The sequence below is a fragment of the Homo sapiens genome, chromosome 11 (assembly GCF_000001405.40).
Source record: "Homo sapiens chromosome 11, GRCh38.p14 Primary Assembly".
In the NCBI taxonomy this organism is placed as follows: domain Eukaryota; kingdom Metazoa; phylum Chordata; class Mammalia; order Primates; family Hominidae; genus Homo; species Homo sapiens.
Window position 1 is genome coordinate 123,464,060 of NC_000011.10, and position 14,947 is coordinate 123,479,006.

At 44.8% G+C, this 14,947-nt stretch overlaps 1 protein-coding gene across 25 annotated transcripts in view, besides 1 other annotated feature; it reads left to right on the plus strand.

Annotated features, from left to right (window-relative positions):
• Positions 1–14,947, plus strand: part of GRAMD1B (GRAM domain containing 1B) — a 269,346-nt gene that overhangs the window by 105,638 nt on the left and 148,761 nt on the right. For 2 of the 25 annotated variants that reach the window (XM_047427327.1, XM_047427325.1), the window contains exon 2: positions 9,398–9,491. The exons of 21 other annotated variants lie outside the window; for them this stretch is intronic. In XM_047427327.1, the coding sequence (XP_047283283.1) occupies positions 9,400–9,491 (92 nt within the window). In that variant the 5' untranslated portion in view covers positions 9,398–9,399. Of the gene's footprint in view, positions 1–5,342; positions 5,420–9,397; positions 9,492–14,947 lie in introns of those variants that run through there. 2 more of the 25 variants (XM_047427330.1, XM_047427326.1) reach the window with 1 other exon arrangement.
• Positions 14,362–14,656: an enhancer, noted in NCBI's record as "tiled region #13459; HepG2 Activating DNase unmatched - State 12:CtcfO, and K562 Activating DNase matched - State 12:CtcfO". NCBI's record gives its function as "activates a minimal TATA promoter and a strong SV40 promoter by Sharpr-MPRA in HepG2 and K562 cells {active_cell/tissue: HepG2 | K562}" and the evidence as "EXISTENCE:reporter gene assay evidence [ECO:0000049][PMID:27701403]".

The window sequence follows — 14,947 nt, forward strand, 5'->3', positions numbered from 1 at the left end:
TGGGAGGCCAAGGTGGGAGGGTCGCTTGAGCCGAGGAGCTCAAGACCAGCCTGGGCAACAAAGGGAGACCCCATTTCTAAAAAAAAAAAAAAAATTTAGCTGGGTGTGGTGGTGCACACCTGTGGTCCCAGCTACTCGGCAGGCTGGGGTGGAAGGATTGCTTGAGCCTGGGAGTTGAAGACTGCAGTGAGCCATGTTCATGCCACTGCACCCCAGCCTGGGAGACAGAGCTAGCAAGACTTGGCCTCTAAAATAGTAATAATGATAATAATAATAATAACATCTAGGCACATTAGCATGCTGGGGCCAGCTGGCATCCACTTGTAGACGCCGATTGTGCATATCATTTCCCAATGCCAATTTCACCGATAGCAGAAATCAATCATGGTGGGAGTATACATGGCAGAAATTGGCAAATAATATAAATCAGCCCCCTCCACCAATCTAGTTGTTAAACATTTGTCAGCACAGATAAAGGACCGTTTCAATAGAGTGGGATGTCAGTAGTTTTCAAACCTGAGATGCCTGTTAAAACTCCTTCAGGCTCCAACCCAGGCCCCCTGAATCAGAATCCAGGATCAATGAGGGAATGGGAACCTTTTTCTTTTCTTAAAAAGTTTCCAGGTGATTCTTATGCAGCCAAGGTGGTACTGATATTTGGACTAGAGCAAGGATAATAGGAATAGAGAGGAGAGGATGGATATAAAAGATGTTTCAAAGGTGGGAGCTAATATAACTCAGTGATAGATCGAAGGTAGGGAGTGGAGGAGAGAGAACTGCTGGAACTATTTCTGTGTTTCCTTGTTTGTACAGCTAAGTGGAGGGATGGTGATGCAGGTGACTGAGCTAAGGAAGGCAGATGGAAGTTGTTGGGGAGAAGTGAGGGTGTGGGAGGCGGGAAGGGGTAGTTTTGGACAGGCTGTGCGATGAGCCTAGGGAGGTAGGGTTTTGGTGACATCCTGTAAACAGCTGGATATGGGGGACCGGAGCTTGGTGGAACACTAGGAGTTTTAGATACAGGTTTGGGAGTGAACATGTGGCTTTTTGTCCGAGCCATGGATATGGATGGCATTGCTGGAGGAGAATGTGTCATGTGAGAAGAGAAAGAGACTCTGGATGGAACTCTAGGGGCAACTTTTCAGAGGTTGGTAGGGGAAGAGAAGCCAAGTAGAGATCAAGCAAAGAGCGGTATGTATGTTGAAAGCCCAAGTCGATGGCTCCTTAGAGAGAGGAGTTCCTTTAGGTGTTTTCGCATTTCCAGAAGCCTAACAGAAACCACACGTACATTTTTCTGTAACAAGACAACCTAAAACATTCCTTTGTTTGGCTTGAATTCTATCAATCCAGTGTGGTAAGACATGTCCTTGGAGGCTGACCTGAAGCTCTGAATGGTAGTTGTGTGTCTTTCATTAGAAACACACTTGGGGCGTGGTGTGGTGGCTCATGCCTGTAATCCCAGCACTTTGGGAGGCAGAGGCAGGCGGATCACCTGAGGTCAGGAGTTTGAGACCAGCCTGGCCAACATGGTGAAACCCCATCTCTACTAAAAAAAATACAAAATTAGCCGGGTGTGGTGGTGCATACCTGTAATCCCAGCTACTAGGGAGACTGAGGCAGGAGAATCACTTGAACCCGGGAGGCGGAGGTTGCAGTAAGCTGAGATCACACCACTGTACTCCAGCCTGGGCAACAAGAGTGAAACTCCATCTCGAAAGAAAAAAAAAAAAAAGAAACACACTTAGGAATATTGTTTGAGGGTTCTTGGTGGAGAGGAAGTTGGGACATTGTAGGAAACAGAAGTGAAAGCTCTCTGTGTGTACTGGCCTGACTCTGTGAGAGGAAATGGATGGAGAAAATACTCGAACTCCTCATTAAACTGGAGCAGTTTAGTTAAAGGGCTCAAGATCATACTGATTGTTGAAAATAAAGATTTGGGCTGGGCATGGTGGCTCACGCCTGTGATCCCAGCACTTTGTGGGGCCTACGCGGGCGGATCACTTGAGGTCAGGAGTTCAAGACCAGCCTGGCCAACATGGTGAAACCCCATTTCTGCTAAAAATACAAAAATTAGCTGGGAGTGGTGGTGGACGCCTGTTATATCAGCTACTTGGGAGGCTGAGGCAGGAGAATGGCTTTAACCTGGGAGGTGGAGGTTGCAGTGAGCCAGGATTACAGCACTGCACTCCAGCGTGGGTGACAGAGTGAGACTCTGTCAAGGAAGGAAGGAAGGAAAAGAAAGAAAGAGAGAGAGAGAAAGAGAAAGAAAGAAAGAAAGAAGGAAGGAAGGAAGGAAAGAAGGAAGGAAGGAAAAAGAAAGAGAGAGAGAAAGAAAGAAAAAGAAAGAAAGGAAGAAAGAAAGAGAAAAAGAAAGAAAGGAAGAAAGAAAGAAAGAGAAAGAAAGAAAGAAAGAAAAGAAAGAAAGAAAGAAAAAGAAAGAAAGAAAAAGATTGACTGACTGATTTGGGCATAAAATGGATTCTGGCTTGCCCTGGGCTTAAGAACTTTCTGCAGCTTTTCAGCACTGACTTCTTTCTCCAACATGGATACTCTGCATTGGGAAGCAAGAGATTTTCCACAGGCAGGAAGGGGACCCAGGGAGTAGGGGTGGGGGAAAGTGAGGGGATGGTGCGTGTGTGGAGAGTGGAGGGAGGCTGGCCTTGAGGCTGGTCCAGGGTTTTGACCAATTCTTACAAACTTCAAGTTCTGGGAAGCAACTTGGTTGACCACATTACCTTCTGAGTAAAGGTTTAGTAAGGGATCTGGTTAATTTGTATTTATTCTCTTGAGAGAGCTGAAGATTTCACTGTGAAGTTAAGTAGTGATTGAGGCCAAGGAAGCTAGTAGGATGTGGGAAACTAGAAAAAGGTGGTGTGCTCCTTTACCTAAGAGCAAGTGAAGAGAGTTAAAGCTGACAGTTTCTCCTTGCCCCTTTTCTCAGAACCCATTTGAGGAATATAATGGGGTAAGTATAATTATTTTAATTATGTGTGGTGATAGGCCTAGAATTTTATTGTAGGTGAGGGATCATTTACCCTTTGTGAAAAAGGATAAAGAATATTTATTTATTTTTCCTAGCCAGAGCTTCATGATCTGTATTCACGAGAGCTAAGGATTGGCATGAAAAGTTAAAGCTTATAGATAGGCTGGGTGTGGTGGCTTTCGCCTGTAATCCCAGCACTTTGGGAGGCCGAGGTGGGAGGATTGCTTGCACCTAGGAGTTTAAGATCAGCCTGGGCAACATAGGGAGACCCTGTCTCAATTTTTTAAAAAATTAATACTCATAGATAATTCAGAAAGAAACAAACAAAAACGTTGTAGCCTTGGTTTTCAACACCTTTTTTTTTTTTTTTTTTTTTTACTGACTTTCACTGGTTGTGCCTAAATGGAGAGCCATATTCTTTCCTGCCCACCTTCTCATGGAGGCGCTGTCAGGCTTGAGATGCAGCTTCCTCATGTTGGATAACTGAGAATTGGACCACAACTTTGACACGGGGGCAGGAAAGAGGAGCCCTGGCATTAGGAAGATTCTGGCGGGTTTTGTTACAGTGGCTTCTTTATGGGGAAGGTCCACATATGTCTAATTCAAGTCGGCATCGCCAGATGTCTGGAACCAATGCCTAAAACATAGTTGGTGGAAACATGGATGGATGAATGACATATCAGGAGTGGTGGGTTCCCTGAGGTCACGGGCCATGCCTTACACATCCAGCACGGCCTAGCAGGGTCCTTCCTTCCTTCCTTCTTTTTCTTTCTTTTCTTTTCCCTCCCTCCCTCCCTCCCTCCCTTCCTTCCTTCCTTCCTTTCTTTCTTTCCTTTTTTGTTTTTGATGGAGTCTCGTTCTGTCGCCAAGCTGGAGTGAAGTGGCGCAGTCTGAGTTCACTGCAACCTCTGCCTCCCGGGTTCAGGCGATTCTCCTGCCTCAGCCTCCCGAGTAGCTGGGATTACAGGCATGCCCACCACACTCAGCTATTTTTTTGTATTTTTAGTAGAGACAGGGTTTCACCACGTTGGCCAGGATGGTCTTAATCTCTTGACCTCGTGATCCACCCGCCTTGGCCTCCCAAAGTGCTGGGATTACAGGTGTGAGTCACCGCACCCAGCCTCAGGGTACTTTCAACATAGATGTTCAAAAAGTATGCACAAGGAAGGAAGGTGCAATCTGTGCTGATTTGAGAGTACTCAGCAAGGCGTCTTTCTGGGCAGACCAGTGAGTACTCAGTGGAAGTGGAGACTTTTACAAATACATCAAGGGAGGATAGGGCTAGATATTTGCACATTCATCAGATATGTATTATACACCTAATATGTGCTAGGCACTGTGGGTGGAAAAAAATGACACAATGGGACCATCGCTCTCAAATAATTTATAGTATGGTAGAAGGTTTAGGGAAATGAATCATTAATCGCTGCATCCCAAGGAGTATGATAATTGTTATGATAAAGGTTAGTGCAGGCCAGGTGCGGTAGCTCACGCCTGTAATCCTGGCACTTCGGGAGGCTGAGGCAGGTGGATTCCTTGAGTCCAGGAGTTCAAGACCAGCCTGGGCAAGATGGTGAGACCTTATCTTTACAAAAAATACAAAAATCAGCCCGGTGTGATGGTGGCACAACTGTATAGTCCCAGCTACTCAGGAGGCCGAGGTGGGAGGATTGCTTGAGCCCGGGAGGCAGAGGTTGCAGTGAGCCAAGATCCTGCCACTGCATCCAGCCAGGGTGACAGATTGAGACCCTGTATCAAAAAAAAAAAAAAAAAAAAGTAGTGCAGGGTGATATAGGACCATAATGTGGGTGGTGGTCACCAAGGAAGATTTACTACTTTTGAAGAATAATAGTAGCTATAATATTGTGTGTCTACTCATCTCTCCAAGTATGTGTGGGTGTTTATTTAATTCTCCCAAAACCCCAAGAACATAGATGCTATTGTCACCCCCATTTTATAGAGGTTGGACATCAGCAGCGTAGGTGGAAGAGTCGACTTGAACTCAGGCAGTCCAAAGCTGGGACAAAGAAGGGTGAGAGAAAAGGCTCTACCAGGCCAGTAGAAAGGCAAATTAAAAGGCAGAGGCAAGTAGAAGGGCTGGAGTGGAGAGCGGAGGTGACGTGAGGGAGCTGGGTAGAGAGGCAATAGCCAGGTTATGAGGCTGTTACTGCTCAGATAAGGAGTTGGAACTTGCTCGGAAATCATGGGAAGGCTAAAGGATTTTAAGCCAGGAAGAGACATGATTAAATCTGTGTTTCTGTAAGACCATTGTTTCAGTGTCAGGATAGACTGGAGTGGGGCCAGAGTGGCAATGGGGAGGGCAGTGAAGAGCCTATTAAAGTAATCTGGGTGAGGAGTGATGAGAGCTTGGTTTCAGACAGAGGCCGTCGGAGTGATGAATGGAAGGCGGATGGATTCGAGAGTCACTAAAGAAGTAAGGTCTGTAGGACTTGGTGTCAAACTGATGTGGGGTTGCATTTCTAGTTCATATGAATCTTTACTTGTGGAGTATAAGGAGAGGAGAAAAAGATGGTGAATTCAGTGGTGGGAATGCTCAGTTTGAGACTCCTGTTGGACATTTAAGAGAGCTCTGTACCTCTGCAACTATACGATACTAAAAATAAGTATTATTTTTAATTTTTTTCTTGTCCTTTCCCTTTCTCTTTCTTTTCTTTCTTTCTTTCTTTTTTTCTTTCTTTCTCTTTCTTTCTTTCTTTCCTTCTTTCTTTCTCTTTCTTTCCTTCCTTCCTTCCTTCCTTCCTTCCTTCCTTCCTCTCTTTTTCTTCTTCCACCTGATGGCACAAGAAAAAAATAAACATTATTAACAGTTGTTGGGGATGTATTTATTTACTTGCCAAGCCTTCTGCTAAGTGCTGCATTTTTGTTGTTGTTGTTTAAATGACTTTATATTGAAATGTTACAACTCTGATGTAAATATGTATGGCATAGGAGGACAAAAAGGGAATGCGAGAAAATAACAAAGTATGGGGAAATAGAGTCATCTCTCTAATGACATAGATAAGGACACCCTAGATGAGCTTACTATGGTTCACACTGACTTTACTGGGTTCCACAAAGACCAGTCTACAGACCAGAGGTTCTCCATGATCAAGTCATATTCAGGACTCCTGCCCACATGCAAGAGTGAAATCAATTCCTCAAGGGCTTGCACACCCACACCACAGAAGACACTTAAAATATTATCTCCATATTATCTCCAACTCATCACACAAAACCATACAAAAGCTAACCATTTCTTATTTAGAAGACAGTTACTACTTACAAAACTGCCGAGAGCAGCTCATATTTTTTTTCTTTTATTTATTTTAAAAATAGAGTTTCACCATGATGTCCAGGCTGGACTTAAACACCAAGGCTCAAGTGATAACCCCACCTTGGCCTCCCAAAATACTAGGATTACAGGCATGAGCAACCATGCCCAGCCAACTCACATTTTTCTTTCTTTCTTTCTTTTTTTTTTTTTTTTTTTTTGAGGCGGGGTCTCACTCTGTCACCCAGGCTGGAGTGCAGTGGCACGATCTCGGCTTACTGCAACCTCCACCTTTCGGATTCAAGCAATTCTCCTGCCTCAGCCTCCCAAGTAAGAGAACACAAGAGCTTGGAACACAAAAAGTAAACTAGGAAGGGCTACCACGTTAAGTGCTGGATATTAATTAACTTGCTTAATCCTCACAACAGGTCTGTAAAGTTGCTTACATTTTGACAGATAAAAGGATGGGAATGTAGAGAGAGGTTAAGAAATTTGCTCTGAGTTGCTAAGAAAACAAGTGGCCAAGCTAGAACTCAAATCCTGGGTTTGATCCATACCAGTGCTGTCCAATAAAGTTTTCTGCAGTGATGAAAATGCTCTCTATCTGTACTGTCCACAATGAAGCCACGAGCCACATATGGATGTTGAGTACTTGAAATACTGGTGTGACTAAGGAACTGCATTTTTAATTAATTTAAATTTATGTAGCCGCATGTGACGAGTGACCACATCGTTCAGTTCTGTGCTCTGCTATCTTTGGGAGTTATCAGCATATTCATAATAATTGAAGCCTTGAGTGTGATAAGATCTCACAAAGAGATGAATTGCAGTAGATTTTAACCTCATATGGGCCCAGGCATATTTGAGAATCTGATGAAGGCTGTAAACTTCTCTCAGGAACATATAGTATTATTGCACATTATATTGATAACAATTTCAGAGGTCCACAAAACTTAGGTTTCCCTGATATAAAACAGGAAGAAGCAGGAACCCAATAGAATGTAAACTCCTTAAGAGCAGAGACCTCATCTGTGTTGTTTACTGCTCTATACCCAGTATCTAGATTCTAGAACAATGCTTAGTACATAGTTGATGCTTGGTAATTTTAAATGAGTGTCTGAATGAGTCCCGGGAAACATTTTAGGACCAAATAGAAGAAGAGCCCAAGAAACTTCCCCAGAAAAAGAAGTGAAAGTAGGACAAAACGCAAGAAACAGGGGAGAGTAATGCCAGAGAATGCAAGAAATATGCGTTTCAAGAAGGAGAATAGTCATCAATGTCAGACCTGCCTGGCTGGTCAAAGATTAAGATTTAACTATTGTCGTTGGTCTTGGTGTAACAGAGGTCCCTGCTGATAAAACCAAGGAGAGGTAGGCTTGGGGTGCACATTGCAATAGATTAATTCATAAAGCAGTGGTGAAGAAGTAGGGGCATTGAGTATAACATCCAGTGAACCTCAAATCCTGGTTGCCCCCCAGAATCATTTTTAAGCTTTTTAAAAATACGTATACCTGGACAGGTTCATACTCCGACTTCATACATTTGGAGAGGGGCCAAGGAATCTGCATAGTAAAGCTCCTGAATTTATTATAATATTGTTTTAATGGAAGTTCAGCAATTACAAAGTAGTATGTATGTTCTTGCAATAAAATGGCCATCAAGAGAGGAAAACTAACGCTGGGTGTGGTGGCTCATGCCTATAATCCCAGCACTTTGGGAGGCCAATCCAGGTGGATCATTTGAGGCCAGGAGTTCAAGACAAGCCTGGCCAACATAGCCAGGCATGGTGGTGCGGGCCTGTCATCCCAGCTACTCAGGAGGCTAAGGTGGGAACTTGAACTCAGGAGGCAGAGGTTGCAGTGAGCCAAGATCATGCCACTGCACTCCAGCCTGGGCAATGGAGCAAGACTCTGTCTCAAAAAAAAAAAAAGAGAAAAAGAAAAAAGAAAGAAGTGGAGAGAGAGCCTTTTCTTTTGTTAAACACAGACATGGGCATGTTCAGAGGTGAACTATTTTATTTTTTTAGTGATATGGTTTCACCCTGTTGCCTGGGCTGGAGTGCAGTGGTGTGATAATAGTTCACTGTAACCTTGATCTCTTTGGCTCAAGCGTTCCTCCCACCTCGGCCTCCCCGGTGAAGCAGCGTTGTTGTCTGGGGTAATACCCAAGGTTCGTCATCTCATGCCAAGAAAATTAAGGACACAGACACACATGAGGAGTGAGTTTAGGAGTGAAGGTTTAATAGGCGAAAGAAAGAGAAAGAACAACTCACTCTTGTGAGAGAGAGGGGCACCCAAATGGGAATTACGCCAGGTGCTGTGGAGTGCACCAGATTTTTATAGACAGGCTTGAGGAGGTGGTGTCTGATTTATATAGGGCTCACAGACTGGTTGGACCAGGTGTGACGTTTACATAGCCCAGGGGGAAGGCTGGCCACTCCACCCTAATCTTATTATCCAGATGGGCTTTCCACTTGGCTGGCACCATGTTGTCTGCTCCTTACCATACATGTGGCTGGCAAAGAGAAGGGAAGATGGAGCCACCATTTTGAACATGCCTAGTCCCAGGTAGCCTTTTCCTATTGGCACAACTGCTGGCATTCACCCATGGAAGCTTCCAGCTTGCTTGTCTATGTCTGCAGCTAAATTTTACAGGCTGCTCTTTGTTAGAAAAGAAAATGATTTGGGGGATGCTTTTCATTAACAGGAAAATCTTACGGAGGACTTCCTTACCCTCACTATCTGCCTAAATAATTTCTTCTTTTATTTTTTGAGACGAAGTCTCGCTCTTGTCCCCCAGGCTGGAGAGCAATGGTGCAATCTTGGCTCACTGCAACCTCTGCCTCCGGGTTCAAACAATTCTCCTGCCTCAGCCTCCCGAGTAGCTGGGATTACAGGAGTCTGCCACCATGCCTGGCTAAGTTTTGTATTTGTAGTAGAGACGGGGTTTCACCATGTTAGCCAGGCTGGTCTCGAACTCCTGACCTCAGGTGATCTGCCCACCTCGGCCTCCCAAAGTGCTGGGATTACAGGCGTGAGCCACCGTGCCCTGACAATTTCTTCTTAACTCCCATATCACCAGTAGCTAGGACTACAGGCACACACCACCACACCGTGCTAATTTTTGTTTTCATTTATTTTTTGTAGAGATGAAGTCTCACTGTATTACCCAGGCTGGTCTCAAAACTCCCGGGCTCCAGAGATCCTCCTTCCTCAACCTCCCAAAATGCTGGGATTACAGGTGTGACCCACCTCACCCAGTCCCAAGAACCATTAAATAGAGAAGTATTCATGAGTTGTAAGGAGCTAGGAAGATATTTAGCTGGATTTTGAATCCCTGAATCTTTGACCAGGGATTCTACCCACCTTGCTGCAGGTTCCCATGGGAGCTATTAAGCAGAAGTGAACCTTCTAACTCGGTAGACAAATTCTCAATATTCACCTCAAGTATGTTATTTCTAAGTGGTGTTTGAGGATATTGAGGGATGTTCTGTAAGGAGGTGGCAGTACCCCAGTCACATTTGTTTACTTATTTTCTATTATTAGACTTGTCCATACCTGCTTGCCAGGTGGCACACAGAAACTCCTCCTTTATTCTCTCCATCTTTGCTACCTGCCTTCTCTTCCCCCATACACCTTTCCTACTTAAGCTGAAATAGTAAATGCCAGAGTCATTTTATATGTAGAAATAATTTAGCATGAAAACCCAGCTCTCTCTTCTGTCAGTGGTGGTGAGGCCCTACTTTTCAGGCTAAGGGCCTTTTCTGTTATCTTTCTCCCATGCACTGGCTATTTCAAAATATTCTGACACACTAACTGAATACTCAGTGTAATAGATATCCACCATTTATGATACACTCACCAAGGGCCTGCTACTGCCCTAAACATGTTCTACAGATGATTTCTACCATTTCTAATCCCCACTGCAATGTTTTCTTTTTTTTAACTTTTAATTTTTTTTAAAGTAATGGCAATCTTGAATCCAACAGAACTGCAGTCTTTTAAGGCATGCATTATTACCCACATCTGACTGTTAGAAAAGTGAAATAATTTTCTCAATCTCCCCCTCTGCTAAGTGGCAGAGTCAGGACTAGAATGTGCGTCTCTCTGACGCCATATCCTGAACTCAGATACTGTGACTGGATTATTCACAACTTAATCCTCTGTGCAGTTCTATAAATAGAGGACTAAGTTGTGAGTAATCGCAATAAGTCTCCATTTTTCAGGAAATAGGCTAAGGGAGGATAAGTGACTTGGCCAAGGTTAGAAGGCTAATAAGAAACAAAGCCTATGTCCCAAGGACCTCAATCCAGAAAAACAAAAAACAAATAAAGGCAGGGGGCAAACCCAGGTTTGTCTGCCTTGGTGCTATTTCTACTGTATCACTGCTTAAAATAATATATTTCCCCATTTTTATTAACAAAGACACAAAGACATCTATAACTGCCACTCAGAGCCTTTTGCAGCTTCTAATTAGCATGAGATAATTGATACTAACAGGAGAGATTGCCTCAGTTGCAGCCAGAAGTAAAGAGATGCAGTACATTAGTCTCTGCAGCCTGGGTGTGGGTAAATGTAGTTTCCATCAGGCTCTGGAAATACTGCATTACAGCCTACATGCCCCCATGACGGCTTGGGACCACCTGAATCTCTCAGAACCCCTTCTGGGCATAGGAAGCTATGACTCCTGTAGGGTTGCCTGGAAGAGAAAGAGCTGTTTCTCCCTAGGAAGCACCTACTCAGTAGAGGTTGCCATATTCCGTCTTTCTAGCAGTAAAGCCGTGCCTTTCAGAGGGCAGAAGGACGGCTTCCTGGTGGTTCGTGGGTTTAGTCTGTACTTTCTGCACGTGTCCTGGGTACAGGGAGGGAGGAAGGGAGATCACTGGAATCATGAGAATTTGCCCAGCCCGCATTGCAGAGCTTCCTGGTCAAAGCCTAGTGAATTTCTCCCTTGTGGAGCGTGCTTTGGCTCAGATTCCTGTGGATTTTTCCCAGTCCTTCCAGTGCTGCTGGTATTAATGTGACCTTCCAGGATAAGCTCCTGCACTAGCACGCTGGTCTTAAACAAAACCAGGATTCTGCTTCAGCTGGTTTCCCTCAGGAATATCCCAGAATTTTACCAAGAGCTTCCCATCTTATTTAGGAACATGGTCTAGTGTTCCAAAATTTAATTTATACAGTGAATTTTATCTGAAGCTTGAATGTACAGCAGGAGGGATTAAAGTCATCCTAGTTCCATATCTAGCTGTCTTGAGCGAATGGCAAGCAGTTGCTTATACAAATTCCCTTCCTTGCAGTGTTAAGCCATCTTTCAGTCATCCGGTGCCCAGGCAAGGACATTCCAAATCCTAGTTTAGAGTTTCTTTTTCAGGGTTTCCAACAGACAGTTTCATCTGTTAGTGCCCTCTGCTGGACTTTCTCCAAGTTCTTTTCAACCTCCTGAATCCCAGAGTGGACGCAGACTGGATGTCTTCTCCCACTAAGGCCTTGACTAATCTGGAGTGGAGGGAGGTGTGCTTTTTGACCTTGTAGCATGCTGCACTCCTTTATAAACACCTTGGCCTGGAGGTTGCTCTTTTCATGGTCTCCGAAGACTGGTAGGTTTATTTAGGGAGCAGCGTGAGTTGCCTGGGGTCCAGGTGGCCTATATCATTGAAAAAGGCTCATATAAGAGAAGAATTGAAAGGGTGTGTGTGAGAGGGTGAGGCAGTGTCTGAATCTCTGGAAATTCTGCTCAACAATATTATTTCATGGGATTGAGTGGAGGAGTGGTTGGCAGCAATTCATCCATTTAACTTCTTTTTTTTTTTTTTGAGACGGAGTCTCTGTTATCTAGGCTGGAGGGCAGTGGCACGATCTTGGCTCACTGCAACCTCCACCTCCCAGGTTCAAGTGATTCTCCTGCCTCAACTTCCCGAGTAGCTGGGATTATAGGCGTGCACCATCACACCTGGCTAATTTTTGTATTTTTAGTAGAGACAGGGTTTCACCATGTTGGCCAGGCTGGTCTCGAACTCCTTACTTCAGGTGATCTACCCGCCTCGGCTTCCTAAAGTGCTGGGATTACAGGCGTGAGCCACCGCACCCGGCCCATTTAACTTCTTTAAGACTGTTGAAAAACAAGCTCAAATAATGGGAGGAAATAGGGCCAGGCCTCTGCCGAGGGTACTGGAGGAGGAAAGATCCTGTATATACCCTATGCCTGTTGCCACCATGGATTTATCTAGAGTCCCTCCAGCTCGATGTTCACCTCTCTGATGTGTTCCCTGGAGCTTTCCAACAGAGGTGTCCACCAGCTACACCTTGTTCATTTTTCTGCTGTTGTTGCATCACAGTCCACGGTGAATATTTGTATGTCTTAGACTGGGAGCTCTTTGCTGGAGAGACCTTGTCCTGATCATCTTTACAGTACTGTCTCCTAGCACAGTGCTGGGTACATGAGAGTGGTAAACGGAATTGAACTAGAATGCCTTTTCTTCTCATTTCTGCATGTCTTGAGTCTATCCAGTTTTAAGTGGCAGCACAAAAATCTTGTTGTTAAGACAGAATTGTCTTACTGGTCCCAGAAGGACATGACATTTCTGCATTCTGTGTTCCCATAGCACTTAATACATAGTATTGAGAGTTATCATTTTTCTGCTTTTAAATATAGTTATTTATATTGAATCTTACTTTCCTGATTCTAAGCACTTTGAGAGCAGGATCCTTGTTTGATTCACGTCTTTCTTTTCCTATAACCCATAAAATGATGCCTTGCATATAGGATAATGGCACCTGGCATTTACATAGCAGTTAAAATGTGGCAGATGCTCTTTTTCATACTTCACATTTCTTTCTCTTTCTTTCTTTCCTCCTTCTTTCTTTCTTTTTCTCTTTCTTTCCCTCTCCCTTGCCTCCCCTCCCCCCTCCCCCTCCTCTCCCCCTCCCATCCTCTCCCCTTCTCCCCCTTCCTTCCCTTCCCCCTCCCCTCTCCCTCCCCTCCCTTTCATTCTCCCTTCCCTCCCCTCTCCTCCCCTCCCCTCCCCTAGCACAGTGCTGGGTACTTGAGAGTGGTAAATGGAAAATGGAAATGAAAATGGAAACGGTAAGTGGTAAATGGAATTGTCACTGGACTAGCTGTCTTGAGCGAATGGCAAACAGTTGCTTATACAATTCCCTTCTTTGCAGTGTTAAGGCATCTTTCAGTCATCGGTGCCAAGGCAAAGTCATTCCAAATCCTAGTTTAGAGTTTCTTTTTCAGGGTTTCCAAAAGACAGTTTTATCTGTTAGTGGCCTCCCTTTCCCCTCCCTCCCGTCTCCCTTCCTTTCCCTCTCTCTCCCCTCCCCTCCCTTCCCTCCCTTCCCCTTTCCCTTCTCTCTCCCTTCCTTCTCCTTCTCCCTTCCTTTCCCTTCCTTCTCCCTTCCTTTCCTTTCCCTTTCTCTTCCCTTCCCTTTCCTTTTCCCTTTCCCTTTTCCTTCCCTTTTCTTCTCTTTTTTTGTTTTTCAGATGGAGTCTCACTCTGTCGCCCAGGCTGGAGTGTAGTGGCGCGATCTCGCTCACTGCAACCTCCGCCTCCCTGGTTCAAGTGATTCTCCTGACCTCAGTCTCCCAAGTAGCTGGGATTACAGGCGCTTGCCACCAAGACTGGCTAATTTTTTTTATTTGTTATTTTTTATTTTTTTTAGTAGAGATGAGGTTTCACCATGTTGGCCAGTCTCATCTCAAACTCCTGATCTCAGGTGATCCACCCGCCTCGCCTCCCAAAGTTCTGGGATTACAGGCGTGAACCACCACACCCAGCCTCTTCTCTTTTTCTTTCTTTGTCCTTCCTTCCTCCCACCACAGTCTTCCGAGTAGCTGGGACTCCAGGTGTACACCATCATGCCTGGCTAATTTTTTTTTTATAGAGATGGGGTCTCACCAGGTTGCCCAGGCTGATCAGGAACTCCTGGGTTTGAGCGATCCTCCGGTCTCAGCCTCCCAAAGTGCTGGGATTACAGGCATGAGCCAACCCGCCTGGTTCCATACTGTAGACTCTTAACCATTGTCTTGATGATGCTTCGTGTACACATAGCGTGATGTGAATACTTGTTGGATGCATGTAGTTTGATATTTATTTGAAACCAATACACAGTTTGAACATGACCCATTGCTGCCTTCTCTGCCATCTGAACTGTTTTCTAAGCCATGGGAAGGCAGGCCAGAGAGGGGCGCCAGAAAGGAGGCAGTTCCTGGTTCCGGTTCCTGAGGCTCCTTATTGGTTTTCCTTGTAGTTCTGGTTTGGAAGTCTACAGTGCCATCTAGTGGGTAAACTTGCAAATATCAGCTTAGAATTATTTTTCTGAAATCCTGGTAGATGGCCTTGAGTTCTGGGAGCCCCCTTTATTAGTTTAAAATTTTGATTGCCGGGGGAGGATAGGGGGACTAGGAAGAACCAGCCCATCCTGGCTCAGCGGGGTCAAGTTTGACCCCTGCTTTGAAGAGGCTGCAATGCTGATTGTGGTTGGCTTGGTTGAGCCCTGTTGACTGTTGTAAATGGTGTGTTCTCCCACAGTGTAGACCCTGCTTCTGGAGCTGTGTGGGCTTTGGAATTTGAGTTACAGTCATCTGTGTGCTGCCTACTGTGGAGTAACACTTGTCCCAGGTTGTATATAAGGGGATGCTTGATTCATATAACAGGCCAGTTCCAAGTAAGACATCTCATGAGTTAACGACAT